This window comes from Homo sapiens, chromosome 5 (genome assembly GCF_000001405.40).
Source record: "Homo sapiens chromosome 5, GRCh38.p14 Primary Assembly".
Classification (NCBI taxonomy): domain Eukaryota; kingdom Metazoa; phylum Chordata; class Mammalia; order Primates; family Hominidae; genus Homo; species Homo sapiens.
In genome coordinates this window covers 141,407,987-141,434,878 of record NC_000005.10, presented here as the reverse complement: position 1 = coordinate 141,434,878, position 26,892 = coordinate 141,407,987, and the positions used below count along the sequence as shown (strand labels likewise).

At 46.4% G+C, this 26,892-nt stretch overlaps 19 protein-coding genes, 1 pseudogene and 1 further gene across 27 annotated transcripts in view, besides 2 other annotated features; all 21 read right to left on the bottom strand.

Annotated features, from left to right (window-relative positions):
- PCDHGA12 (protocadherin gamma subfamily A, 12) overlaps window positions 1–4,372 on the bottom strand; it is an 82,469-nt gene extending 78,097 nt beyond the window's left edge. The window contains exon 1 of one of the 2 annotated variants that reach the window (NM_003735.3): window positions 1,696–4,372. In NM_003735.3, the coding sequence (NP_003726.1) occupies window positions 1,696–4,119 (2,424 nt within the window). In that variant the 5' untranslated portion in view covers window positions 4,120–4,372. Of the gene's footprint in view, window positions 1–1,656 lie in introns of those variants that run through there. The other variant, NM_032094.2, reaches the window with a different exon arrangement.
- Window positions 1–13,828, bottom strand: part of PCDHGA11 (protocadherin gamma subfamily A, 11) — a 91,925-nt gene extending 78,097 nt beyond the window's left edge. Inside the window, exon 1 of one of the 3 annotated variants that reach the window (NM_018914.3) lies at window positions 11,219–13,828. In NM_018914.3, the coding sequence (NP_061737.1) occupies window positions 11,219–13,651 (2,433 nt within the window). In that variant the 5' untranslated portion in view covers window positions 13,652–13,828. Of the gene's footprint in view, window positions 1–10,199 lie in introns of those variants that run through there. The other 2 variants (NM_032092.2, NM_032091.2) reach the window with 2 other exon arrangements.
- Window positions 1–17,202, bottom strand: part of PCDHGB7 (protocadherin gamma subfamily B, 7) — a 95,299-nt gene extending 78,097 nt beyond the window's left edge. The window contains exon 1 of one of the 2 annotated variants that reach the window (NM_018927.4): window positions 14,605–17,202. In NM_018927.4, coding sequence (NP_061750.1) covers window positions 14,605–17,019 — 2,415 coding nt within the window. In that variant the 5' untranslated portion in view covers window positions 17,020–17,202. Of the gene's footprint in view, window positions 1–14,442 lie in introns of those variants that run through there. The other variant, NM_032101.3, reaches the window with a different exon arrangement.
- Window positions 1–21,892, bottom strand: part of PCDHGA10 (protocadherin gamma subfamily A, 10) — a 99,989-nt gene extending 78,097 nt beyond the window's left edge. Inside the window, exon 1 of one of the 2 annotated variants that reach the window (NM_018913.3) lies at window positions 19,268–21,892. In NM_018913.3, coding sequence (NP_061736.1) covers window positions 19,268–21,703 — 2,436 coding nt within the window. In that variant the 5' untranslated portion in view covers window positions 21,704–21,892. Of the gene's footprint in view, window positions 1–17,427 lie in introns of those variants that run through there. The other variant, NM_032090.2, reaches the window with a different exon arrangement.
- The window catches only part of PCDHGB6 (protocadherin gamma subfamily B, 6), a 104,955-nt gene extending 78,097 nt beyond the window's left edge, over window positions 1–26,858 (bottom strand). The window contains exons 1-2 of one of the 3 annotated variants that reach the window (NM_001386906.1): window positions 24,259–26,858; window positions 22,258–22,940 (exon numbers count right to left, since the gene is read on the bottom strand). In NM_001386906.1, coding sequence (NP_001373835.1) covers window positions 22,917–22,940; window positions 24,259–26,676 — 2,442 coding nt within the window. In that variant the 5' untranslated portion in view covers window positions 26,677–26,858 and the 3' untranslated portion in view covers window positions 22,258–22,916. Of the gene's footprint in view, window positions 1–22,257; window positions 22,941–24,213 lie in introns of those variants that run through there. The other 2 variants (NM_018926.3, NM_032100.1) reach the window with 2 other exon arrangements.
- Window positions 1–26,892, bottom strand: part of PCDHGA1 (protocadherin gamma subfamily A, 1) — a 182,462-nt gene that overhangs the window by 78,097 nt on the left and 77,473 nt on the right. The window lies entirely within an intron of this gene.
- The window catches only part of PCDHG@ (protocadherin gamma cluster), a 182,295-nt gene that overhangs the window by 78,101 nt on the left and 77,302 nt on the right, over window positions 1–26,892 (bottom strand).
- PCDHGA2 (protocadherin gamma subfamily A, 2) overlaps window positions 1–26,892 on the bottom strand; it is a 174,216-nt gene that overhangs the window by 78,097 nt on the left and 69,227 nt on the right. The gene's annotated exons all lie outside the window — the stretch shown is intronic.
- The window catches only part of PCDHGA3 (protocadherin gamma subfamily A, 3), a 169,147-nt gene that overhangs the window by 78,097 nt on the left and 64,158 nt on the right, over window positions 1–26,892 (bottom strand). The window lies entirely within an intron of this gene.
- The window catches only part of PCDHGB1 (protocadherin gamma subfamily B, 1), a 162,877-nt gene that overhangs the window by 78,097 nt on the left and 57,888 nt on the right, over window positions 1–26,892 (bottom strand). The gene's annotated exons all lie outside the window — the stretch shown is intronic.
- The window catches only part of PCDHGA4 (protocadherin gamma subfamily A, 4), a 157,955-nt gene that overhangs the window by 78,097 nt on the left and 52,966 nt on the right, over window positions 1–26,892 (bottom strand). The gene's annotated exons all lie outside the window — the stretch shown is intronic.
- The window catches only part of PCDHGB2 (protocadherin gamma subfamily B, 2), a 152,982-nt gene that overhangs the window by 78,097 nt on the left and 47,993 nt on the right, over window positions 1–26,892 (bottom strand). The gene's annotated exons all lie outside the window — the stretch shown is intronic.
- PCDHGA5 (protocadherin gamma subfamily A, 5) overlaps window positions 1–26,892 on the bottom strand; it is a 148,814-nt gene that overhangs the window by 78,097 nt on the left and 43,825 nt on the right. The window lies entirely within an intron of this gene.
- PCDHGB3 (protocadherin gamma subfamily B, 3) overlaps window positions 1–26,892 on the bottom strand; it is a 142,734-nt gene that overhangs the window by 78,097 nt on the left and 37,745 nt on the right. The gene's annotated exons all lie outside the window — the stretch shown is intronic.
- Window positions 1–26,892, bottom strand: part of PCDHGA6 (protocadherin gamma subfamily A, 6) — a 139,085-nt gene that overhangs the window by 78,097 nt on the left and 34,096 nt on the right. The window lies entirely within an intron of this gene.
- The window catches only part of PCDHGA7 (protocadherin gamma subfamily A, 7), a 130,234-nt gene that overhangs the window by 78,097 nt on the left and 25,245 nt on the right, over window positions 1–26,892 (bottom strand). The gene's annotated exons all lie outside the window — the stretch shown is intronic.
- The window catches only part of PCDHGB4 (protocadherin gamma subfamily B, 4), a 125,278-nt gene that overhangs the window by 78,097 nt on the left and 20,289 nt on the right, over window positions 1–26,892 (bottom strand). The window lies entirely within an intron of this gene.
- Window positions 1–26,892, bottom strand: part of PCDHGA8 (protocadherin gamma subfamily A, 8) — a 120,343-nt gene that overhangs the window by 78,097 nt on the left and 15,354 nt on the right. The window lies entirely within an intron of this gene.
- PCDHGB5 (protocadherin gamma subfamily B, 5) overlaps window positions 1–26,892 on the bottom strand; it is a 115,029-nt gene that overhangs the window by 78,097 nt on the left and 10,040 nt on the right. The window lies entirely within an intron of this gene.
- Window positions 1–26,892, bottom strand: part of PCDHGA9 (protocadherin gamma subfamily A, 9) — a 110,198-nt gene that overhangs the window by 78,097 nt on the left and 5,209 nt on the right. The window lies entirely within an intron of this gene.
- Window positions 4,337–4,476: an enhancer, noted in NCBI's record as "active region_23296". NCBI's record gives its function as "activates an Ori minimal core promoter by ATAC-STARR-seq in GM12878 lymphoblastoid cells {active_cell/tissue: GM12878}" and the evidence as "EXISTENCE:reporter gene assay evidence [ECO:0000049][PMID:35858748]".
- PCDHGB8P (protocadherin gamma subfamily B, 8 pseudogene) lies at window positions 6,621–8,593 on the bottom strand (annotated as a pseudogene). Its single transcript, NR_001297.1, has one exon. The product of NR_001297.1 is annotated as a protocadherin gamma subfamily B, 8 pseudogene (transcript).
- Window positions 26,400–26,449: an enhancer, noted in NCBI's record as "active region_23295". NCBI's record gives its function as "activates an Ori minimal core promoter by ATAC-STARR-seq in GM12878 lymphoblastoid cells {active_cell/tissue: GM12878}" and the evidence as "EXISTENCE:reporter gene assay evidence [ECO:0000049][PMID:35858748]".

Here is a 26,892-nt window from a genome sequence, read left to right as displayed (position 1 = left end):
TGGTATCTGTCACATATATATAAATTTATTGATGTCTGCTTTATAAATGCCAAGTGTACTAAGGGATATATTTCTCCAAGCTCAGAAAAAAAAATTTTTTTTTTTTTAGAAGTGTGAAGTGGGGAATCAGGGGTCTCATAGCCTTCAGAGCTGAGAGCCCTGAACAGAGATTTACCCACATATTTATTAACAGCAAGCCAGTCATTAGCATCATTTCTATAGATATTAGATTAACTAAAAGTATCCCTTATGGGAAACGAAGAGATGGGCGGAAATAAAGGGATGGATTGAGGTAGTTATCTGCAGCAGGGGCATGTCCTTAAGGCACAGATCACTCATGCTATTGTTTGTGGTTTAAGAACACCTTTAAGCAGTTTTCTGCCCTGGGCGGGCCAGGTGTTCCTTGCCCTCATTCCGGTAAACCCACTACCTTCCAGCATGGGCATTACGGCCATCATGAACATGTCACAGTGCTGCAGAGATTTTGTTTATGGCCAGTTTTGGGGCCAGTTTATGGCCAGATTTTGGGGGGCCTGTTCCCGACACAAAGAGACAAGCAGCAAGAGGAAGAAATGCAAGATCCTACAGGAAAAACAGAGAATACCTCTAATTTCCACCTCCCCCACAATGCCCAAGTCATCTAGTCCAGAAATCGTACTTTGTTTACACTGACAGAAGTAAGTACATTGGAATTACAAATCTTGGATATAATCCCAAGCTTGCTGTAACAGAAAGGACATAGAAATCAGCCTAAAGGGAGTCCCAAAGGCCAATCCTGGGACAATTTCAGCATCAAAATAAATAATTGATATTAACAGATTACAGGCCATTGAATAAAATAGAAAACCATGCTTCCAGAATCATAGAAACAAACATATATAGAGAATATAAAACTCTTCTTCAAGGTAGAAAGCCAATTAACAACTGTAGAAGAAACAATGGAATTATAAAATCTTCATTTGGAGGTGATTGTAATAAGTGATTAAAGCAAGTGTCATCAATGGATGAAACTAGAGGATAAAGTTTTTTTTTTTTTTTTTTGAGATAGAGTTTCACTCTTGTTGCCCAGGCTGGAGTGCAATGGCACAATCTCAGCTCATTGCAACCTCCACCTCCCAGGTTAAAGCAATTCTCCTGACTCAGCCTCCCAAGTAGCTGGGATTACAGACATGCACCACCACGCCCGGCTAATTTTGTATTTTTTTAGTATAGACGGGGTTTCTCCATGTTGGTCAGGCTGGTCTCAAACTCCCAACCTCAGGTGATCCACCCGCCTCGGCCTCCCAAAGTACTGGGATTACAGGCGTGAGCCACCGCGCCCAGCCAGAAAAGAATATCTGATAAGGGCGGGGCACTGTGGTTCACGCCTGTAATCCCAGCAGTTTGGGAGGGAGAAGCAGGAGGCTAGCCTGAGCCCAAGTTTCAGATCAGCCTGCTCAACATAGTGAGACTCCTGTCTGTACAAGAAAGTAATAGATAGATAGATAGATAGATAGATAGATAGATAGATAGATAGATAGGCAGACAGTAGGTGGCTTGCACCTGTAGTCCCTGTTACACCGGAGGCAAAGGTGGGATAATTGCTTGAGCCTAGGAGTTTGAGGCTGCAGTGAGCTATGATCGTACCGCTGCATTCCAGCTTGGGAGACAGAGCAATTAAAAAAAAAAAAGAAAGAAGATTTGATATAAACTCACCTCAATTAACCCATGACTGTCTTTAGAAAATACCGAATCACCTGACAGCAAAAGGGGCTCGCTTTTTTCAAAGCTCTCCTGGCTGACGAGCATGTCTGCATAGTTGGGCTGGGGGAAGATCAGGTGACTCTTCCGCGAGTCCGTGGTGAGGGAAACCTCGTGGGAATAGGTCTGCAGGAAAGCCTGCACCCCGTCCACGCCCACAAAGTGCGACGCCGGCGCTCCTGTCAAGCCGCCTCCTGAAGCCTGCAGCAGGCGTGACTTGTGCCAGCGCCGCAGCCTGAGCGCCAGCAGCAAGATGACGAAGGCCAGGAAGACGCAGGAGACCGCGGCCACCGCTACCACCAGGTACAGAGTGAGGTCTGAGGTTTCAGAGTTAGCTGGAGACTCGAGGCTGCCGAGGTCCGCCAGGACTTGGGGGATGCTGTCGGCCACGGCCACGGTGAGCGTGACAGTGGCGGAGAGAGGGGGCTGGCCGTGGTCCTGGACGGCCACTACGAGGCTCTGCTTGAGCGCGTCTCTGTCCAGCAGGGCTCGCGCCGTGCGCACCTCGCCCGTGTGCAGACCCACCGAGAAGAGTCCCGGCTCGCTGGCCTTGAGCAGACGGTAGGACAGCCAGGCGTTCTGGCCGGAGTCTCTGTCCACCGCCACCACCTTGGTCACCAGGTAGCCGGGCTCTGCGGAGCGGGGAGCCAGCTCCACGCCAGTGGAACCGTCCGTGGGGAGGGCGGGGTACAGGATCTCGGGCGCATTGTCGTTCTGGTCCAGCACGAACAGGCTCAACGACACGTTGCTGCTGAGGGGCGGGTGCCCGTTGTCCCGCGCCATCACTTTCACTTGCAAGTCTCGGAACTGCTCGTAGTCGAAGGAGCTCAGCGCATACAGTACCCCAGTGTCGGAGTTGATGGACACGTAGGACGATAGGCTTGCCCCTTGGATGGTGTTCTCAGCCAGGGAATAAGTGATCTGGGCGTTCTCTTCACAGTCGGGGTCGTGGGCGGTCACAGAGACGAGGGAAACTCCTCTGGGATTGTTCTCTGGGATATAAGCGGAATAGGAGGCCTGAGGGAAGACCGGCGGGTTGTCGTTGGTGTCTGCCACGTTCAGCGAGATATGAGTTTCCGTGGATAGGGGCGGGGTTCCCCGGTCAGTGGCGGTCACTGTGATGTTGTAGCTAGGAACCTGTTCCCTATCCAAGACTATGTCTGTGACTAAACTATAGTAATTTCCGTAAGATTTTTCTAATTTAAAGGGCAGATTTCCTTGGATGAAACAGATCACCTGTCCGTTTTCCTCAGAATCTTGGTCATTTACATTTAAAAGGGCAATTAATGTCCCTCTGGGAGAGTTTTCGGGAACCGAGCTGGCGAGAGAGGTGAGGACCACTTCTGGGGCATTGTCGTTCACGTCCAGAACAGTGATCAGGACTTTGGCTCGCGCAGAATATCCTGCATTATCCATTGCTTGCACTTCCATCTGGTAGAATCCTGACTCCTCGTGGTCCAACTCCCCTATTGTTGATATTGTCCCTGAATTACAATCTAGTTTGAAAACTTGGGCCGCCTTGTCGTCCACATACCGGAAGGAATACCTCACTTCCGCATTGACTCCTTCGTCAGGGTCGGTAGCGTTGACTACAAGCAGCTGCGTGCCCAAGGCCAGATTCTCCGGAACGCTCGCGCGGTACTCGGGCTGAGCAAACGCTGGTGCGTTGTCGTTCGCATCCAGAACCATCACGCGGATGCGCGCGGTGCCTGTGCGCACCGGGTCGCCCCCGTCGGAGGCCGTAAGGACCAGGTGGTGAGCAGCCTTTTCTTCGCGGTCCAGGGCGCGTTTCAGCACCAATTCGGGGTACTTACTACCGTCGGCTCCATTTTGCACGATGAGGGAGAAGTGAGTGTTCGGGCTGAGCTCGTAGCTCTGCAGAGAGTTCTTCCCGATATCCGGATCCCAGGCGTGGGGTAGAGGGAACCGCATCTCAGTGGCTGCATTTTCACTAATTTTTATTTCTAATTCACTTTCACGAAAGTAAGGCGCATTGTCGTTAATGTCCCTTACTTCTACTTCTACTCCATATATTTTCACTTTATCCTCCATCAGAATGTCTAGATTTAATTGACACTTGATGGCCCCCATACAGAGCTCCTCCCGGTCTATCCTGCCCGCCGTGACCAAGCTGCCGCTGCGCGGATTCAGGGCGAAAAGCTGCGTCCTACCTCTGGGGATGATGCGGACTCCGCGCTCCGCGAGCTCCCGGGGCTCCAGCCCCAGGTCCCTGGAGATGTCGCCCACCCTAGAGCCTTTCTCCAGCTCTTCCGGAACTGAATAGCGTATCTGGGTGCATCCGGTCTCCCACAGAGTCCCCAGGAGGATTCCCAGCAGGACAAGCCCTTTGTAGTCCCGGTGCAGTCGCGCAGGAATCATTCTTATCTTCCTCCAGAATTATTTTCAATTCTGCCCTTAACCACTGAAGTCAGGAGCAGTTCCTTCGCCCATAGAATGGGACAGTTGGGAAGTCAGAGCTCCTCCGTTGTTTCCACATACTCCCAGGGATGGTTCATTCCTAGCTATCTGCTTTGTGCTTCAGGCGCGTGCAAGGCGAGCAGGATCTCCGCTTTTCTCTCCCCGATTGGTGAACAGCGGCGCTCAGAGTCCTAACCAATTACTGCACAATCTTGAACTCCCAGAAAGGATATTTCGTTTTTATATCTTAAATAGCTCCACCTACTGTTCTTCAAAAGGGGATGGAAATCTACCGTATTCGCTTTAATAGAAACTTTAGTGAGCTTTTTTTTTTTTTCCCAATGAGCTTTTTTTTCCCCAATGAGCTTTTAAATGAATTGGAAGTTTCTATAAACAATGATTTTAATCTTATAATGTTAGTGCATCTGCTTTGAGATTACTGTTCCCCCAACACACCTATTATGGAGATGTCTCCCTAGGAGTTTCTCTTTTTGACAAATCATATAATATAATAATTTAAACTTTCTGATTCAGCTATAATTTGGGGAAAATATTTTTAAATAGATTCCTTGAATGATCCTGAATGGAAGGATTACTTTACCAGGTTGTTGACATGTAACGCTTAAAAATCAAATTTTCATGATATTATGGAAACCTAAAAATGATATGTGATTGTATACATTATCAGAATCACACTTAACAAGAACCCAAGTGAAAAAGAAACATTAATATTTTTAGCATAAAGTAGAAGCATTCCAACTTGCATTGACTGGAAATAATGGAAGTACTCCAGAATTCTATTAATACATTATATTTCAAAAATATTTATTGTTCAGGAAACTTAGTAAAAGAAAATTGGTAGTCCAAAGAATGTTACAGACTTACCTTTTCCTGGGTAACTGACCTAATTGTAATTACTGAGAATTACTGGTAATACTTTTGGAAGCCCATCAAAATATAGGGAAAAAATTCTCCCTAAGAAATAACTGGCTACGTACTTTCATGAGCGTAAATATTTATACTGTAAAGATATTTGCTAGGCATAAAATAAAATAATATATTTTAAATTGGGAAGAAATATATAGGTAGCTGTGAGAAAATATCAGACATAAAATTGAGTTTACTTGAATTACAAGAATCAAAAGTAAATGTAACTGAATATTATCAAATCATTACCATGTTCTTATTTTTTTAAGCTTTTTTCTCTGCCAGGCACAGTTTCAGGCAACTGTAGTCTCAGCTACTCTGGAGATTGAGGTGGGAGGATTACTGTAGCCCAAGAGTTTGAGTCCAGCCTGGGCAACATAATGAGACCTTAATCTCAATTTTTTTTAAAAAAAAAACACATTTTCTCCATTTTCTCATGCATTTTCTTCAAAATTTATAGTTAATGGATTAAAGAAAAAGCCTTATATACTCAAATATTGATGTCCCAAGAAACATCACAGGAAAAAAATTTATTCCTCAATTAAAATATCTCAATGACAGCAGTATCATAATACCCACTTTTCACACGTGTGTGTGTGTGTGTGTGTGTGTGTGTGTGTGTGTATAAACAATGTCTCCGGGCCGGGTGCAGTGGCTCACGCCTATAATCCCAGCACTTTGGGAGGCCGAGGCGGGCAGATCACGAGGTCAGGAAATCGAGACCATCCTGGCTAACACGGTGAAACCCCGTCTGTACTAAAAATGCAAAAAATTAGCCGGGCGTGGTGGCGGGCGCCTGTAGTCCCAGCTACCCGGGAGGCTGAGGCGGGAGAATGGCCAGAACCCGGAAGGCAGAGCTTGCAGTGAGCCGAGATCATGCCACTGCACTCCAGCCTGGACCACAGAGCGAGACTCCGTCCAAAAAAAAAAAAAGTCTCCCGTAAAAATGGTGAAAATGTTTCAAAAATACATGAAAGCTAATAATGAAGTTACTGGCCCACACAGAAAGGAACAGGAAATATTAAGAGTGGGCAAACAAACCTGAAGCAATAGTAGATATAATATGTTTAAGATTTTCTTGCCAAAATATTGGTTTGAAAATTAAACCTCATCCATTTGTAAATGAAAGACATTCATTGGAACTCACGTGAGTAGGAGCAACAGAGTTAGAGCTTATCTTGTTATTCTCTTCAGTGAAGCTTGCTACCAGAGAAACTTCATTAGAAAGATCTTGTGGGGGGACTGTTTCTGGTGTCATGGTGAGAAAATTAAATCTTCTTTTTCTAGAATCCGAGGGAACATACAGATTGCAGGAATAAAGCAAAGTTCCCTCATTGTAGTTGGGAAAAACCCCTGGTCTAGTCTTAGAACAGAGACCAGGGTGAAAGCAACCCCAGGCAGAGGGGCTGGAAGAGCATCGCAGGTGCAAGGCGACCGCCAAAATCACTGCGAGGAAGAAGAGCATAGAAATCAAGGCCAAGGCCACGACCAGGTAAATCTGCAGCTTTGCTTGGGAATCAGAGGGCACAGGACTGTCACTGAAGTCTGGCAGTGCCTCCTGCAGGCTGTCTGCGAAGACTAGGTGAAGCGTAGCGGCGCAGAGAGCGGCGGCTGTCCTCCGTCACGCACAGCAACCAGCAGGTTCCCGTGTGCAGCCCCAGGCTGAAAAGCCCGGGCTCGATGGCCTGCAGCACGTGGTAGGACAGCCAAGCGTTGTGTCCCGAATCTGCGTCCACCGCCACCACCTTGGTCACCAGGTAGCCGGACTCTGCGGCGCGTGGCACTATATCGAAGAGTGCGGAGCCATCGGGCCCCAGCGCGGGGTACAGCACCCGCGGCACATTGTCATTGAGGTCGCCCACCAACATGCGCCGGCTCATGTTGGCGCTGAGCGCGGGCGAGCCCTGGTCGTGGGCCTGCATCGTGAGCTCGAAGGCGCACAGCTGCTCGTGGTCGAAGGCACGCTGCGCGACCACCACCCCGCTCTGTGCGCTCACGGACACGTAGGACGACAGTGCCCGCAGCTCCAAGTCAGTGGTAACGATGGAGTAGGAGACTTGGCCATTCAGCCCTAGGTCCAGGTCAGAGGCGCTGACTTGTGGGATGGAGGCTCCGGGAAGGTTGTTTTCGGCCACGTGGACCACGTAGGAGACTTGGTGGAAAACCGGAGCATTGTCGTTGACTTCACCAATGCGTAGGGTGAGGCTTGTGCTGGATGAGAGCGGAGGCTTGCCCTTGTCAGTGGCAGTGATGGTGACGTTGTACTCCGGGATCCGCTCCCAATCCAGGGTCCCATCTGTTACAAGCTTATAGTCATTATTGGCGGAAGATTCGATTCTAAAAGGAACTCTTTCGTTTATGAGGCATGTAACCTCCCCATTTTCTCTCGAATCTTTATCATGTGTTTTGAACAGAGTGATCACCGTCCAGGGTTCTGCGTCCTCAGTTACAGAACTGGACACTGAAGTAAAAACCACGTCTGGGGCATTGTCATTCTCATCTAGGATTTCTAGTATAATTTTACATTCGCTGGTCATGCCTCCACCATCCTTAGCTTCTACTCTCATGGTATAACTGCTACGAAATTCGAAGTCTATTAAGTCTTTGGATTTAATTTCCCCATTTTGATGGTCTAGCACAAACATATTTCCAATATCATCTCGTAGGGATTTGAAAGAGTAGGTGATCTCCGCATTGACACCCTCATCCTGGTCAGTGGCTGTCACCTTTAGTACAGAGGTGCCTGGGGGCACATTCTCTCTAAGGCTGACTTTGTATACATCCTGGCTAAAAACTGGGGCATTATCGTTGGCATCAGTGACCTCAATTTGAATTGCAGCAGTGCCAGTTGGGACTGGGTCACCCATGTCCATTGCTTCCAGGACCAGGAGATGAGAGCTCTGTTGCTCCTGGCCCAGGGGCTTCTCCAGCACTAATTCTGGAGCGTTCTTGCCTTTAGTCTTGTCCATCATCAGAGAGAAATGTTCATTAGAACTGAGCTGGTAACTCTGGAGAGAGTGAGGCCCTACATCTGCATCTATAGCAGATTCCAGGCCAAACCGAATGCCTGGAATTGCTAGTTCATTGATTTGTAAAACAATGCTATTTTGGGGAAAATGAGGTGGGTTATCATTTATATCTTCTATCATCACATTTATGTGAAAAACATTTAGAGGATTCTCTGCTACAATCTCTAAGGGTATGACACAGAGGATTTTGAAGACAGTGACTCTCGATCTATTCTGTCACTCACAAGTATGTTCCCATTCTCCGTGTTCACGGTAAAGTATTGTTTCTCTGCACTAACTCTAAGGTTTCAGGTCAATAAATCCTGAACATGCAGCCGCATGTCCTCCGCAAGGTTCCCCACCACGGAGCCCTGGACCGTTTCTTCTGGAATAGAGTAGCGGATCTGCTCCGAGGGTGCCCCGCAGAACAAAGGCAGCAGGAAAGGGAAGAGTGCTTGCCACTGCCGGGTCCTGCTTCTCTGCTTCACCCTGTTTCCCATCCTTCCCATGCGTTGCTGCAGTCTCCGACGTTAAGAGAAAATGTTTCACAAAGTGCTTTTAAAATATTTACTTCCATACATAGAAAACTCAATGCTCCCAGTTTGAGGGCACCCCAATCCGTATGGAATCAGATTTGCAGGAGCAGAAAGCCCAAGTCTTGGCCACTCTCCGACTTGCTTCTGTGACTGAACAGAATATCGTCCTGGTAGATCCCAGGCTCCAGTTCTTGCAGCACATTGGCCAACAGCAGGGCTCTGAGTCTATTTAGAAAACTGCAGCCGGAAGCCTTTGCTAATTCAATGGGATTCAGAATTAGACTGATGTGTTGGACTAATGTATAGGAAACTAGACATTTTATGAGTTTTCGTAGTGACTGTTTTCCAGTGTTTACTACCAAAGAAGATTCCTTAGAGATGGGAATCTATAGAACAGTCATTAACCCAGCAAAGAGAATTTAAAAGTTTGTTTTTTTCTAAGCAGAAGCAATGCACATATTGGAAGAACTAGGCAAAGTCTTCTCTCCTGTTGTAGAACAAAAACCTTGTGGGAAAACATCCCCATCAAGTGGTATGGGAAAATTTTGACCACTATGAAATGATATGCAGTATTATTTTCAATCTGATGTGCAGATAATTTTCCTCCTAGTTTTATCAGAGAAAACTGGAGGAGCACTGAAAGCTATATAGGGCATATTCAGAATAAAGTTAGCCAAACCCTTCTTATCACTTATAAAAGAGGTTTCTGAAAAGGATTATTGTTTCATGTTTCATCATAAAGAGAATATAAAGGTATAGCCTAGTAGGTTGCCATAGGAATTAATAACATGAAATGTGATGGTGTTTTATTTTTATCCTCTATTTAATGGGACTATATGTTATACCTTAACAGAACTTTATCACTACCTCCGAATCAACATAACCCTCTTAATATCACATTTCAAAGCCAACCCTTCCTTTTTGTTCTCCACGATCTTGGGAAGTTAGTTTAGATGAGGTTTTATAATATGGAACAATCTCCTTTTCCCAGCCAAATACCTCATATCCTTTTTATTTAACTAATTCCAGTCAAAGTACAATGCCTTACATCATTTTTCTCAGTTTGGAATTCCACAAGTATAAATCCTATCCCTAGATGCTCAAAATACCTGAACATTTTTCTTGACTTCAAGAAAAATGTAGGCATCTGTTGGAAGACTTGCCTTTCCTACAGTTGAAATTATTTTTGTCCGAGCCCTAGATAGTCAGTTTACAACTAATGACATAAGGTAAATTCCTAAATGAGAAAACTAAACTTGAAAGGGAACATAAATATCCAAGTAATTTGGGGCAAATACCTAGAAGTGATGTGAGAGTGTTGACTGAATTGATTATGGAAATGATTCCTGTGATCAAAAACCCTAGATAAGTCTCCTTTCCTCATTTGGCTTTCCTAGACATTGCTTCAGATAACATGTATGTCAGGCAACTATCAAGCTTCAATAACAAGTTGGTCTGAATAAAAGAACTGAATGTACTATTTGCCATAAGAATGACCTTATAAAGAAAGAAAGAAGGAATCTATGACTCCCAACTACACTGAAAATGAACAAAAAAATAGCCAGAAGGATACTAGCTAAATCAGTTTAATTAAAGTCCAAATACCTTCAATCTATTTATATATTCACAAACTACTCTATTTGAATAAATCTGTAGACATCTTTAGCACATTTGAAAATAGGTTTTTGAGAAGCACTGAATCAAAATCAAGTTATTTCTATATATGGATTTACTACATTAAAAAACCTTCCATACATACAAACACAGACACCAAAGTAAAAGAATAAAAGGAAATAATACCAGTTCAATAATTCAATTATTTCCTCAGAACAGTCAATGTAACTTCACCATAGTAATGGAAAAGACATCTAGAGCTTAAGAAAAAATGTGATCTAAATTTTATCTCCCAAGGAAATCCAGTAGTTAAAAGCCAGTCAATATGTCTGTGTTGATAGGATGAAGAAATGAGACAAAGTTGAAATAGTCAACAGGATCTAAGCATATTACCAGCCACCAAGAATCAAAATAAAATTGCTCAGAGAAAAGCTTACGTGTATAAGTGTGTGTGCATGTGTATAGATAGATAGATGAGAAGGAGAGCTAGAGGGAGCATGCTATTAAATCAACAGGATCAAAATTTGAACATTAGCAGTAATAGCAAATAATGGTGGAATATAACTACAAATCAGTGAAGGCACAGCAAAATTGAAATGGAAATAAAAAGTGTTTGTGAATCATTAATTTGTATCTATATATAATAAATTGAGAGCCTCATACACTGATAATAGAAAAATAATACTAAAATTCAACTTACTTCAAACCAAACCAGCATAGTTGAATGGCCCCTTTGAAATCAAAAGAAAATATGCCAAGATTGAAAAATGACTTTCACAAAAACGTTCTGAAAGATTATCGTAATCTCATGAAAGGCAAAGTAAAACTCACATGTATTGCTCTAAATATATATGAACTAAATATATGCCGCCCCACCCCCCCCCCAAACAGTTTTCATAACAGGCTCAAAAAACATCTCCTTAAAAGACTTGTGCCAAGACACCAACAATTAGGAGGCAGAGAAATAAATCTCACCTGATTACTTGTCGGGTCACATTTGCCTAAAATGATAGCTGAGTCTTCAGCTATCAAGAGTGGCTCGCTTTTCTCACAGCTCTCCTGGCTGATGAGCGTGTCCCCATAGTTGGGCTGGGGGAAAATCAGGTGACTCTTCTGCGAGTCCGCAATGAGAGAGACCTCGTGGGAATAGGTTTGCAGGAAAGCCTGTACCCCGTCCACGCCTACAAAATGTGACGTGGGCATACCTGCCAACCCGCCTTCAGAAGCCTGCAGCAGGCGTGACTTATGCCAGCGCCACAGCCTGAGTGCCAGCAGCACGATGACAAAGACCAGGAAGATGCAGGAGACTGCGGCCACCGCCACCACCAAGTACAGCGAGAGGTCTGAGGTTTCAGAGTTAGCCAGAGACTCGAGGCTGCCGAGGTCCGCCAGGACTTCGGGGATGCTGTCGGCCACAGCCACGGTGAGCGTGACGGTGGCCGAGAGAGGGGGCTGGCCGTGGTCCTGGACGGCCACCACGAGGCTCTGCTTGAGCGCGTCTCTGTCCAGCAGTGCCCGCGCTGTACGCACCTCGCCCGTGTGCTCCCCCACCGCGAAGAGTCCCGGCTCGCTGGCCTTAAGCAGGCGATAGGACAGCCAGGCGTTCTGGCCTGAATCTTTGTCCACCGCAACCACCTTGGTCACCAGGTAGCCAGGTTCCGCAGAGCGGGGCGCCAGCTCCACGCCAGTGGAGCCGTCTGTGGGGAGGGCAGGGTACAGGATCTCGGGCGCATTGTCGTTCTGGTCCAGCACGAACAGGCTCAGCGACACGTTGCTGCTGAGGGGCGGGTCCCCGCTGTCACGTGCTATCACTCTCAGTTCTAAGTCTCGAAACTGCTCATAGTCGAAGGATTGTAGGGCATAGAGAACACCAGTGTTGGAGTTAATAGAGACATAGGAGGACAGAGGCACCCCCTGGACAGTGTCATCCGTCAGAGAGTAAGTGACCAGGGCATTCTGTTTGCTGTCCGGGTCGAGGGCGGTCACTGAGAAGATGGAGGCACCCCTGGGGTTGTTTTCGGGAATGTAGGCAGAGTAAGAGGAGTGAGGAAAAACGGGAGGGTTATCGTTGTCATCTGCCACATTCAGCCAGACATGAGTTTCTGCAGACAAAGGCGGGCTTCCCTGGTCTGTGGCTGTCAACGTTATATTGTAGCTCTGGACCAACTCCCTGTCCAGCACTCTGCTTGTTATCAATTTGTAATAATTTCCATAAGTCTTTTCTAATTTAAAAGGCAGGTGGTTAGGAATAAAACAGGAGACTTGACCATTTTCTCCAGAATCTTGATCTTGCACATTTAGAAGAGCAATCACTGTACCTGGAGGAGAGTTTTCCAGAATTGAATTAATAGAAGAGGTGATAGTTATTTCTGGAGCGTTATCATTCACATCCACAACAGTGATCAACATCGTCGTGGTGGTAAAGAGACCTCCACCATCTTGGCCTTGAATTTCCATCTCATAGAATCTATATTTTTCAAAATCCAGAGACCCCCGTACTTGAACTTCTCCAGTTTGTGAATCCAATTGGAATATTTCAGAAGCCTTGCTTTCCATGTTCCGAAATGAATACATTACTTCCCCGTTGATTCCCTCGTCTGGATCCGTTGCATTAACCATCAGCACCCGAGTTCCGGAGCTGATGTTTTCTGGAACACTCACGCGATATACGGACTGTGTAAACATTGGGATGTGATCATTTACATCGAGGACCACCACACGAATGGGAACTGCGCCCTTTCGGATGGGATCGCCTCCATCTAAAGCTGTGAGGAGGAGCAGGTGAGCAGCCTCTTTCTCTCGGTCCAGGCTTCCCTCCAGTACTAGCTCTGGATTCTTGGCCCCATCCGTTCTGCCCCGCAGTTGCAAGGAAAAGTAATTATTAGGGCTGAGCTGGTAGCTCTGGAGGGAGTTCACGCCCACATCTGGATCCCTAGCATTAGGAAGAGCAAATCGCGCCCCAGGAATTGCGTGCTCACTGACTTTTATCTCCACTTCGTCCTCCTGGAAGCTGGGGGCGTTATCATTAATATCTATTATTTCCACCTCCACTCCGTAAATCTTCAAGGTGTCTTCCACGAGAAGTTCCATATTTAAAAAACAGGAGGACACCGTCTCACAGAGCTCCTCCCGGTCTATCCTGCCTGCCGTGATCAAGCTGCCGCTTCGCGGATTCACAGCGAAAAGCTGTGTCTTCCCTCTGGAGACGATGCGGACTCCGCGCTTCGCCAGCTCCCGGGGCTCCAGCCCCAGGTCCTTGGAGATATTGCCCACGAAGGAGCCCTTTTCGGTCTCTTCTGGCACCGAATATCGGATCTGCCTGGCCCGGAACCCCCGCAGCGTCCCCAGGAAAATGCACAGCAGCAGCAGCAGCCGACTGCGGTCCCCGCGCTGTAGCCGATTCGCCATGGCAGGCTCTAAGCCGATATTCCGCGGTTTCTCGAGCTGGTTGGTTGTGAATCGGCTTATGTATCTATGAAGTCCTAGGCCGACTACATCCAAAATATATCAGAAAGCGAAGGAAAATACTTCTAAGTCTCCAGTGTCAGGATCTGTGAGTATCCATCTCATTCCGCTTTGTGTGGTAGAGGCGGGGGAGGGAGGGACTCAATGGCGCGCAGCTTCCCATTCCCTGATTGGTGAGCAGCGGCGCCTAGAGCCCATTCTTATTATTGCAACGACTAAGAAATTCCAGAAGAAATGATTACGCTCACCTTTGTGAATCACACGTATTTGTAGAGCTTAAAAACGATGATACACAATACTTACATTATGTGACGTTAAAACTTTACCAAGAACACCTGCGAAAGGAGTAATTATTAAAAGGGCTTGCTTAATTTTTAAAAAGTTTTCAAAATATTACTGGAGCTGAAAACTTGTAGGTTGTAGTTGGTTCCAATTGATTTTAACCGACTGAAAGGAACGACATTTCTGGAAGTGGAAATAATACGGTCCCGATAAAATCATCAGGTAGGATGCCTAACTATAATTCTTACAAGGTTCCTTTATTGAGTAAATGAAGATGAAATACTTGAGAAAAATTGAGTAGCATCAGGGTTTCAATTAAAATACCATGCCGTAAAAATATACCTGTATTTTATATTTTTAACCGAAAGGTATTTTACTTCATAAAAATGTCACCGGAGATTACCCATGTAGTTTGCTTTAAAATGTCTTTGAATAGTAGGAAGACTGAGGCATTTAATTTAAACTTTTGTTTTAATAATGATAACCATAAATTTGACCTATATTTTGCGAACTCTATGAAGAAGTTATCTAGAATCTTAAAATAATACCACTATATTGGAATATATTGGCATATTGTAATATAAAAAGGATTAAATACATTTTTAAATACTTACCTGTTTAAGAATCTTCTTATCTGCTTCAACGCTGGGAGTTAAAATGCTAGCCAGTAGCATGCTATCTTTGTTGAGGTTATCTTGTGTGGCTGGACAATGATCAACAGATGTGAAAAAATTAAATTCTGGATTCATTTGATCCCCAGGCACACAAAAATTATAGGCATAGGGCAACGTTCCCTCACTGTAGTTGGGGGGACCCACAGGTCCGGACTTGGAGCAGAGAACTGACTCAAAGCAGTCTCCTGCAGTAGGGCTGAAAGACTGTCGCAGGCGTAGAGCAATAGCTAGAATCACCGCGAGGAGAAAGAGCACAGAAATCAAGGCCAAGGCCACCACCAGGTAAAACTGCATCTCAGCCTGGGAGTCAGAGGGTGTGGGATGGTCGCTGAAATCCGGCAGTACCTCTTGCAAGCTATCTGCGAACACCAGGTGCAGCGTGGCAGTGGCTGAAAGGGGTGGCTGTCCTCCATCTCTTACAGCGACTAGCAGGCGCTGGCGGACCGAGTCCTTGTCACCCAAAGCACGCACCATGCGCACCTCGCCTGTTCGCAGCCCCAGGCTGAAGAGCCCGGGCTCACTGGCCTGCACCACGTGGTAGGACAGCCAGGCATTGTGCCCCGAGTCCGCGTCCACGGCCACCACCTTGGTCACCAGGTAGCCTGGCTGCGCGGCCCGCGGCACTGTGTCGAAGAGCGCGGAGCCGTCGGGACCCAGCGCAGGGTACAGCACCCGCGGTGCGTTGTCGTTACGGTCGCCCACCAACACGCGCAGGCTCACATTGGCGCTGAGCGCGGGCGAGCCCTGGTCGCGGGCCTGCAGCGTGAGCTCGAAGGTGCGCAGCTGCTCGTGGTCGAAGGCGCGCTGCGCGAACACCACCCCGCTCTGCGCGCTCACGGACACGTAGGACGACAGCGTTCGTGACTCCAGGTCGCTGGCAATGAGAGAGTAGGAGACACGGCCGTTGAGCCCGAAGTCTGGGTCAGAGGCACTGACTTGCGCTATGGAGGCACCCGGCTGGTTGTTTTCTGGCACGTGGACCAGGTAGGCTGACTGTCCGAAAACCGGCGCGTTGTCATTGACGTCAGTAATGTGCAGGGTTATGGTTTTGCTGGAGGATAACGGAGGCTTGCCCCTGTCTGTGGCTGCGATGGTGACGTTGTACTCTGGGGTCTGCTCCCGATCCAGGGCCTCATCTGTTACTAGCTTGTAGTAATTATTAGAAGAAGAATGAATCTTAAATGGAACACCTCTACTTAAGCTACACCTGACTTCCCCATTTTCCCCTGAGTCTTGGTCCCGTGTTTTGAAGAGGGCAACAACCACTCCTGGAGGGGAATCCTCCATAATCTGATCAGAGAGTGACGTGATGATTATTTCTGGGCTGTTGTCGTTTTCGTCTACAACTTCTACAATTACTTTACACCGTGTTGAGAGAGATCCTCGGTCTTTTGCTTCTATGTTTATCGTATATCTTTCTACTTCTTCAAAATCCAAAGGCTGCTGAGTTAGAATGTTTCCTGTAGTGTAATCCAGAGAGAACACGTGCTGAGCTTTGTCAGCCACACCAAAGAAGGAATAAGTGATCTCTGAGTTGATGCCCTCGTCCTGGTCAGTGGCCTTCACTCTCAGGATGGAGGTGCCTGGAGGCACGTCTTCCCGAAGGCTAACCCTGTACACGTCCTGGCTGAACACTGGGGGGTTGTCATTGGCATCTATTACCAGGATTCTTATCTGAGCAGTACCGCTTCGGGGAGGGTCCCCACCATCTAAGGCGGTCAGTACCAAGTGGTGAGCGCTCTGCGTTTCTCGGTCCAGAGTCTTCTGCAATACTAATTCTGGATATTTGCCACCATCAGGATTGTCTTTCTCCACCAATGAGAAATACTCGTTAGGACTTAGTTGGTATTTGCTCAGCGAATTCATACTAATATCAGGATCTTCTGCAGACTCAAGAATTGTTCCCATCCCCAGGCTGACGGATTCACTGATTTCTAAGTTTATTTCATCTTTCCGGAATTGAGGGGCGTGGTCATTAACATCCTCAATCACCACAATGACATGAAAAATATTTAAAGGATTTTCCACCACAGCTTCCAATTGCAACTCACATCTTCTTCTCTCTTTGCATATTTGCTCACGGTCTATTCGGTCCTTCACAAGTAAGTCCCCGCTCTGCGCGTCTACGCTGAAGTGCAGCTTCTCCGCGCTCACTCGCAGCTCGCGAGCCGACACATCCAGGACACTAAGCCCTAGATCCTTAGCGAGGTTCCCCACCACCGAGCCCTTGGCCAGCTCCTCCGGAATCGAGTAGCGGATCGGCTCACACAGCGTGGGGTAGAACAAAGGCAGCAGCAAAGGAAATAGTACCTGCCGCGGGCCGGCCCGGCGCCTCTGCGCGCAGCTCCCTCCCATCGTTCGCTCGGGTTCTCGCTGGGTCCCCGCTTTTCCAGTTGGAGAAAGTGCACTCTACCGCGCTAAAAGAGCATTCGGCCCAGGACAGGAGGAGTCCCGGGTCTCGGAGCTGGCAATCTGGTGTGCTGGGCAAGGTCTGCGCAGCCGGGAGCCTCTGTGTGGGAGCTGGTTTTCTTTTCTGTTGTTGGCTGCGCAGGGAATCCCAGGCTAGAGGCTGAGGGATCCCCGGCGTCAGCGCTTGCTCTGCACTGGCCGACGGCGGCGCCCAGAGGCTCTGTGTGGGACTGCAACTTGACTTTTCTCTACCTCTTTCAAGGAATTTTTTTTAAACTACGAGTTGACAGCCAAAATATTTTAATCTTTTTCCTCAGTGATTCCTTTTACATCAGGAAATATATTTCCACTTGGTCATAACTATCATATCTTTTTATTTACTGAATTTACATATATCTTGAATAAATGAATATTTTTTCTTCAAAATTTAAAAAGGCACAAAATAATATAGCATGAAGGTTTATAGGTCTCCTATCCCACGGCCCATTGCTATCCAATTCCTCCATCCAGAGGCAGTCATTCTTGTTCCTTTTAAGAGTAATTATCTATGAAGCTGGAAGTACTGAAGATAAGCAACAAATTTTTTTGTCTTCAATTCTAGCCTATATTCACCCAGAAAGTAATAATTCCTTATTTCATACTTAAGTACTGGAATGCAACCATTGCCCTAGTCATTACCATCATCCAGGGTGTCCTGTATTGCTTTTAAATAATTATAATCAAAATATTTTCTCACAATAGCTACAATGTCAAGAGCAGTTTTTTTTAAAAAAAAAACCTGTATTTTTCAAAATAATAGAATTATTTGAGATGAATGCACAATAATTTTGACTCTCATTAACACAAATATAAAATAATAGTTTCAATGGTTTAATAGTTAATAACTATGACCCTAAAGAGTGTGCTTTCCTTCCACAGACCTATCATTCAACAAATGTTGACTGACCTGAAAAAAATCATGGAATTATAAGGGTCTTGAGAAACTTCGGAATGCTTTTTGACTTTATACTACCACATTTAGTAGAATACTAGTAATAAAATTAAGAGATCTACCTAATACGTCACTATTTTCATTGAACTAAATGAACTCATCAGTACCTCCAATGATCCTTTGTTTATATAATTTCCCTTCGTTGCATATATTCTTTTCTTTTTTACAGCTGTGGTTGGTGTTTATATTCTGATCTGCAGAAATGGCATTTCTTTCTTGACTCTAAGTTTATTTTGCCTCTCAATTTCAGAGTTTTCAGAGTTTCAGGTGTTTGCCTCCTTATACATTAAAGAGCCACTGAAATAGCTTTGTCATATATCTCTTGCTCCTGTTCTCGGGAACATGTACAAATTTATCTGTCTTCCCAACCCATATTTACTTTCAGCCTTAGTCACTAGAAAATTTAACAAAAAAGACAAAAGCAGAATCCCAAATATTCTTAATTTCACCCTCTATAGCCTCCTCAGGATCCCTATTGAGCAATGAAAGTTAAATTAAAATGCTATATCTTCCACATAGCAGTGTGAAATTAGAGAATTGTATGCAAAAAGGATACTGCAGTGTTATCAGTTATAAATAGGGCTGGAAAAATCTAAGCATACATTGTTATAAATAAATTGTTAATTCAATATTAATGAAAAACTTAGTATATTCAACTGCAACTATCACCACAAAGTATAGATTGAAAAATATATAAAATGTAGTTTGAAAAAGGCCTATTGCCCTTCTCCTTGGGAAGAACTGCATTGAGTATTCTTGGATTTGGGTTGTGTTTCCAGAGGTGATTTCTTTCTGATACTTACCTATTCTTACCAGACCTGCCTTCAGAACAAGAGGGTTGCTTAAGGGGCTGGAGTTTCAATATGTGACCACCCAGGAGGAAATATAAATTGACAGGCACTTCTGTATGGAAGTCTGTCTTAGGAATTGTCAATATTGTACTCAACAACACTATAAACTACAAGGTTCTGCAAAGCTAATCATAACAAAGCCTTATGATATATAGGCCTTGATTGAGACTAGGTGAATTTTACCAGAAAGTAAAAAAAAAAAAAAAAAAAAAAAAAAAAAAAACCTTAATAAACATCAAATTCTACTCATCAGTGTTTTAGCATTTACACTTTCCACCATCATGCCGCAAACTTCAAAGTAAAAACCAATCTTTTTTTTTTTAACAAAAGTAAAAATGAAAATAAAACTCACTGGAACCAATGGGGTATCCTCTATAGGAAACTTCGAATCATCTAACAAAGACAAAGGATCGTTTTTCTCACAGCTCTCCTGGCTGATGAGCGTGTCCGCATAATTGGGCTGGGGGAAGATCAGGTGACTCTTTCGCGAGTCCGCGGTGAGAGAGACCTCGTGGGAATAGGTCTGCAGGAAAGCCCGAACCCCGTCCACGCCCACAAAGTGCGAGCCGGACACACCTGTCAAGCCGCCTCCTGAAGCCTGCAGCAGGCGTGACTTGTGCCAGCGCCGCAGCCTGTGCGCCAGCAGCACGATGACGAAGGCCAGGAAGACGCAGGAGACCGCGGCCACCGCTACCACCAGGTACAGAGTGAGGTCTGAGGTTTCAGAGTTAGCTGGAGACTCGAAGCTGCCGAGGTCCGCCAGGACTTGGGGGATGCTGTCGGCCACGGCCACGGTGAGCGTGACAGTGGCGGAGAGAGGGGGCTGGCCGTGGTCCTGGACGGCCACTACGAGGCTTTGCTTGAGCGCGTCTCTGTCCAGCAGGGCTCGCGCCGTGCGCACCTCGCCCGTGTGCTCCCCCACCGCGAAGAGTCCCGGCTCGCTGGCCTTGAGCAGACGGTAGGACAGCCAGGCGTTCTGGCCGGAGTCTCTGTCCACCGCCACCACCTTGGTCACCAGGTAGCCGGGCTCTGCGGAGCGGGGCGCCAGCTCCACGCCTGTGGAACCGTCTGTGGGGAGGGCGGGGTACAGGATCTCGGGCGCATTGTCGTTCTGGTCCAGCACAAACAGGCTCAACGACACGTTGCTGCTGAGTGGAGGATCCCCGCTGTCGCTGGCTGTCACCTGCATCTGTAGCTCATGAAACTGCTCATAGTCGAAGGATCTGAGTGCATACAGGACGCCAGTGTCTGAGTTGATGGATATGTATGAGGACAGAGGTACCCCCTGGATGGTGTCTTCAGCCAGGGAGTAAATAATCTGGGCATTCTCTTTGCTGTCCGGGTCCAGCGCTGTCACTGAGAAGATGGAGGCACCCCTGGCGTTGTTCTCTGGGATATAGGTAAAGTAGGAGACTTGAGAGAAGGTAGGTGGGTTGTCATTGATATCTGCCACTTGTAGCATAAAGTGAGCTTCCGTTGATAGAGGAGGACTTCCCCCATCTGTGGCTGTCACTGTGATATTGTAAGAGGATACCTGTTCCCTGTCAAGGGCTCTGTGTATCACCAATCTGTAATAACTGTCAATGGACTTTTCTAATTTAAATGGTAGATACGCCAAAATGGAACAGGTTACCTGTCCATTCTGCTCAGAGTCTAAATCATGCACATTTAAAAGGGCTACGACTGTTCCCAGAGGTGAATCTTCAGTCACTGGACTAAATAGAGACGTGATGGTCAGCTCTGGACTGTTGTCATTTACATCTTCTACTGTAATCAACACTTTTGCAGTTGCAAGATATGCTCCTCCATCTTCTGCTTGTATTTCTATTTCATAGAAACCGGTTTCTTCATAATCTAGATTTTCTGATATTTTTATTTCTCCAGTATATTTGTTTAGTTGGAACTTCAACAATTGCGTGTCAGGTAATTTTCGGAATGAATATGTCACTTCTCCATTGGCACCTTCGTCCCTGTCGGTGGCTGTGACTGTCAGCAGCTGAGTGCCCACAGGCAAATTCTCAGGAACACTCACTCGGTATTCTGGCAAGGTGAAGACCGGCGCGTTGTCATTTGCATCGAAGACAGTCACACTGACAAGGACAGTGCCAGATCGGAGAGGGTCACCCCCGTCGGAGGCGGTGAGGACCAGGTGGTGAATGGCCTCTTCCTCGCGATCTAGGGAGTGCTCCAGTACCAGCTCCGGGTACTTGACGCCATTGGCACGGCTCTGAACTCTTAGGGAGAAGTGCTTATTGGGGCTGAGCTGATAGCTCTGCAGGGAGTTCACGCCCACATCCGGATCAATAGCTTCCGGGAGAGGAAAACGCATTCCCGCAGCGACATTTTCATTAATTTTTACGTCTAGATTTTCTGCTTGGAATTTTGGAGCATTGTCATTGATATCAGTTACTTCTATTTCTATCCCAAAAAGTTTCACCCTGTCTTCCACAAGGATATTAAAACTCACCACGCACCGCGCGCTCTGAGCGCAGAGCTCCTCCCGGTCTATCCTGCCCGCGGTGATCAAGCTGCCGCTGCGCGGGTTCAGAGAGAAAAGCTGCGTCCTACCTCTGGAGACTATGCGGACTCCGCGCTCCGCCAGCTCCCGGGGCGCCAGACCCAAGTCCTTGGAGATGTTGCCCACGAAAGAGCCTTTCTCTAATTCCTCAGGAATTGAGTAGGAGATCTGCCGGGCTCCAGCCTCCCATGGAATCCCGAAGAAAAGGCAGAGCAGGACCAGCCCGCTGCAATCCTTTGATTCCTTTGAGCGATTCCTTTGAGCGGCCATTGTAGTCTGGTTACAGAATTCTGCAAAGTCCTCACTGGACACGTTGTGTGTTTCAACCGGTTCCTTTGTCTTTCTGTGGCTTCAGGGTGTCTCTGTAGCCTGGGCACTTTAAATTCTGGAGTGAGCTTCCCTGCAGCCCAGCAGCCGGTTTGTGGGGCTTGTGTAGTTGAAGCCCTGAGAATCCGGATTGAGCTCTGGCTGCGTTTTCTCTCCTAGTAGGTGAACAGCGGCGCTCAGAGTCCTAAGAAGTTACTGCACCCAAGTGATACATGCAATGGAAAGTAAACTATTCTGTTGGATTATTATATTTTACATAGATTCTTTGGTTTCTCCACTCCTATCTTTAAATAATTTACTATATGTAGGTTTCTTAGGGGAGGTGTGATAAAGTGGAGTGAAAATATTGTAAATATTTCAAGATAATGTTTGGTTAAATATATATTTGCAACACGTTTTCCCAACAGAAATGTACACACTTTAATAAAAGGTAAATAATACTTATTTTAGGTCATATTAGTGTCTAGGTAAATTCAGAAAAGTCTTATAATTTAAAATTGTGATTTGAATAGGCCAATTTTATTTAGTATACATTCATACAAAGATTATATTAAATAAACTCATGAGATAATTCACTCTGAAGCTTTATAATTGTAACTACTTAATTCATTAAACTTATTTAGCTTAGGATTGTGTAAGAGGTTTTTAAAGTACTCTTCTAGAATAGTTTTACTGAGCCTTAATTAACCTTTTTGTGTAAAACATACTTTATCTTACAGGGATACAAGTTAAATGGACCTATTTAAATGATTAAGCAGGTAATCACAAACTAAAATGAACATATATTACAGTTGCAAATTAAACTGTTTGCATTGTAATGAGAAAAGAAATACGTAGAATTTGAAGTACTAAAAGTTTTAGAAAACAAAGTTAGATGTAGTGATATAGGTTTTTAACAAGTAAGTGTTTATGTCAAATGACCTGTTTTCATCAGAGCATTAATACCAGTATAAATAATCTCTTCTCTTAGGCAGTTTGTATCAGAGGCCAAAGTCCAGTGGTTCACATATCTTCAACTGTGTGTGCCCATCAACCCAGTAGCAATTGTTCCCTCAAATGCAAAGGGTATAGAAGTTCACTTCTTTCACACAGAGAACAGGATGTTCAGAAGTGTTTATGTCACTATGCCTTCCAAGTATAGAACTCTTCAAAGATTTTATCTTTTTTCTTCAAAAATCTTCTATCAGAGAATCAGAGACAGAGACTGAGTGCAAAGGCAATAGTATTTCATTTATTTCTTAGAAATGTCTTTTTTTTTTGAGACAGGGTCTCACTCTGTCACCTAGACAGCTCACTGCAGCCTAGACTTCCTGGGCTCAAGCGATTCTCCCACCACAGCCACCAGAGTAGCTGAGACCACAGGCATGTGCCACCACACCCTGCTAATTTTTAAATGTTCTGTAGCGATGGAGTCTCCCTGTGTTGCCCAGGCTGGTCTCAAATTCCTGCGCTCAAGAGATTCTCCACCTCCACCTCCCAAAGTGCTGGGATTACAGCACACTTGGCCCTGCCTGCATATTTATTTATTTATTTTAGAGACAGGGTCGCACTCTGTCGCCCAGGCTGGAGTGCAGTGGCAAGATCAGGGCTCACTGCAACCTTGACCTCCCAGGACCAAGCAATCCACCCAGCTCAGCCTCCCAAGTAGCTGGGACCACAGGGGAATGCTACCACACTCTGCTAATGTTTTTTTTTGTTGTTGTTGTTTTAGTAGAGATGGGGGGTCTCCCTATATTGCCCAGGCTGGTCTCAATTCTTGGGCTCAAGTGATACTTTCCGATTCAGCCTATCAAAGTGCTGTGATTATAGGTGTGAGCCACTGGGCCTGTCTTCTGAATATTTTTAGGCTTTAAAAATATATAAATAAGATATCGTAAATTCACTAAGTCTTCGCAAATTTGAATAGATAGGTTACTTGTTTGTTTTCTTAGATGCCAAGACCACTGCTTCTGTTCGATAGTCAGAACTTGACAAAATATTGTGGCTCACGCCTGTAATCCCAGCACTTTGAGAGGCCAAGGTGGGAGGATCACGAGGACAGGAGTTTCTGAACAGCCTGGTCGACATAGTGAAACCCCATGTCTACTAAAAATACAAAAAATTTAGCTGTGGTGAGGGGCACCAGTAATCCCAGCTACTTGGGAGGCTGAGGCAGGAGAATCGCTTGAACCCAGAAGGCGGAGGTTGCAGTGAGCAGAGATCACGCCACTGCACTCCAGCCTAGGCAACAGTGCGAGACTCCATCTCAAAAAAAAAAAAAAAAAAAAAAGACAAAGACAAAATATCTTCAGTCTGGTGACATTATTTTACAAAAAGATAGAGCAACTTATGAACCAAATACATAGTGAAAACTATAATTGAAAAAACATTGAGAAAATATTGTAAAAAGCTATGGATTTTAAACATATGATTCTAGATATGAAAATAAAGTAGTATGCCTAAAATATGAGAAACTAGTAGACTATTAGATAAATCACACACAAAAAAGAGAAACTCACCGAAGTCAGAGTCTCAGGATGTGAAGTCAAATCCTCCCCACCATGAGGTGGAATTAAGGCTCCAGGAGAAACACTGCAAACCATGTCTTCATTGGAATGTAGGGGCACACTGCATTTTAGGAAATTAAACTCTTTTGTACCCGTATGTGCAATGCACAGATTATAAGAATAAGGCAAAGTCCCCTCACTGTAGTTGGGGGGAACTACAGGTCCAGACTTGACACAGAGACCAGGATGGAAGCAGTCCCAAGTAGCAGGGCTGAGAGAGCGTCGCAGGCGCAAGGCAATGGCCAGAATCACGGCGAGGAGGAAGAGCACTGAGATTAAGGCCAAGGCCACCACCAGGTAAAACTGCAGTTCAGCCTGGGGGTCAGAGAGTACAGGGCGGTCGCTGAGGTCTGGCAGTATCTCTTGCAAGTTGTCTGCGAAGACCAGATGAAGCGTGGCGGTGGCAGAGAGTGGCGGCTGTCCACCGTCACGCACAGCGACCAGCAGGCGCTGGCGGGCTGCGTCCCTGTCGCCTAAGGCTCGAGCCGTGCGCACCTCCCCAGTGCGCAGCCCCAGGCTGAAGAGTCCGGGCTCACTGGCCTGCAGCACGTGGTAGGACAGCCAGGCGTTGTGTCCCGAGTCGGCGTCCACCGCTACCACCTTAGTCACTAGGTAGCCGGGCTCTGCAGAGCGAGGTACCATATCGAAGAACGCGGAGCCGTCAGGACCCAGAGCTGGGTACAGCACCCGCGGTGCGTTGTCATTGCGGTCTCCCACCAACACGCGCAGGCTCACGTTGGCGCTGAGCGTGGGCGAGCCGTGGTCGCGGGCCTGCAGCGTGAGCGCGAAGGCGCGCAGCTGCTCGTGATCAAAGGCGCGCTGCGCGAACACCACCCCGCTCTGCGCGCTCACTGACACGTATGACGACACCGCCAGGGGCTCTAGGTCACTCGCCACTATAGAGTAGGAGATGTGGCCATTGAGCCCCAAATCCGGGTCAGAGGCGCTCACTTGCGCAATGGAGGCTCCTGGCGGGTTGTTCTCGGCCACGTGGACCACGTAGGACGTCTGGTCGAAAACTGGGGCGTTGTCGTTGATGTCAGCGACATACAAGGTGATGCTTCTACTGGAAGAAAGAGGCGGCTTGCCCCTGTCAGTGGCTACGATGGTGACATTGTATTCTGGTGTCTGCTCTCGGTCCAGGGCTCCATCTGTCACCAGTTTGTAGTAGTTATTGGAAGAAGAATAAATCTTGAATGGAATGTCTGTTTCTATATTACACCTGACTTCTCCATTTCCTCCGAAATCCAGATCCCGTGTTTTGAAGAGGGCAACAACCATTCCTGGAGGTGAATTCTCCAAAATCTGATCAGAGAGAGAAGTGATGATTATTTCTGGGCTGTTGTCGTTTTCATCAAGGATTTCTATGATTACTTTACACTGGGTAGAGAGACCACCTCCGTCCTTCGCTTCCACTTCCATGGTGTACCTTTCTACATCTTCAAAATCAAATGACTGGTTATTCTTAATCATACCTGTTTTCTCATCCAATGAGAACATATGTTTTGTGCTCTGGGCAGTGCTTCGGAAGTAGTAGTTTATCTCAGCATTGACCCCCTCATCCTGGTCAGTGGCTGTCACTTGCAACACAGGGGACCCAGGGGGCAGATTTTCACTAAGACTAATTCTATATTCGTCTCTGCTGAAAACCGGGGGGTTATCATTGGTATCCTTGACAGAAATTTCTATGTGAGCGGTGGCACTTCTTGGTGGGTCCCCTCCGTCCAAGGCAGTCAATATCAAGCTATGAGATCTCTGTTCTTCCCGGTCTAGGAGTTTCTCCAGAGATAACTCTGGGTATTTGCCACCATCGGAATTAACTCTAACCATTAATGAAAAATAAGGATTAGAGTTTATCTTATAATCTTTAATTGAGTTTATGTTTATATCAGGATCCGTGGCAGGGTCAAGCGATAGTCGTGTACCAGCGGATGCAGATTCGAAAATTTCTAAATGTATTTCCTTTTTATCAAATTGAGGGGCGTGGTCATTAACATCCTCAATCACCACAATGACATGAAAAATATTTAAAGGATTTTCCACCACAGCTTCCAATTGCAACTCACATCTTCTTCTCTCTTTGCATATTTGCTCACGGTCTATTCGGTTCTTCACAAGTAAGTCCCCGCTCTCCGCGTCTACGCTGAAGTGCAGCTTCTCCGCGCTCACTCGCAGCTTGCGAGCCGACACATCCAGGACACTGAGCCCTAGATCCTTAGCGAGGTTCCCCACCACCGAGCCCTTGGCCAGCTCCTCCGGAATCGAGTAGCGGATCGGCTCACTCAGGGTGGGGTAGAACAAAGGCAGCAGCAAAGGAAATAGCACCTGCCGCGGGCCGGCCCGGCGCCTCTGCGCGCAGCTCCCTCCCATCGTTCGCTCGGGTTCTCGCTGGGTCCCCGCTTTTCCAGTTGGAGAAAGTGCACTCTACCGCGCTAAAAGAGCATTCGGCCCAGGACAGGAGGAGTCCCGGGTCTCGGAGCTGGCAATCCGCTGTGCTGGGAAAGGTCTGCGCAGCCGGGAGGCTCTGTGTGGGAGCTGGTTTTCTTCTTTCTGTTGTTGGCTGCGCAGGGAATCCCAGGCCAGAGG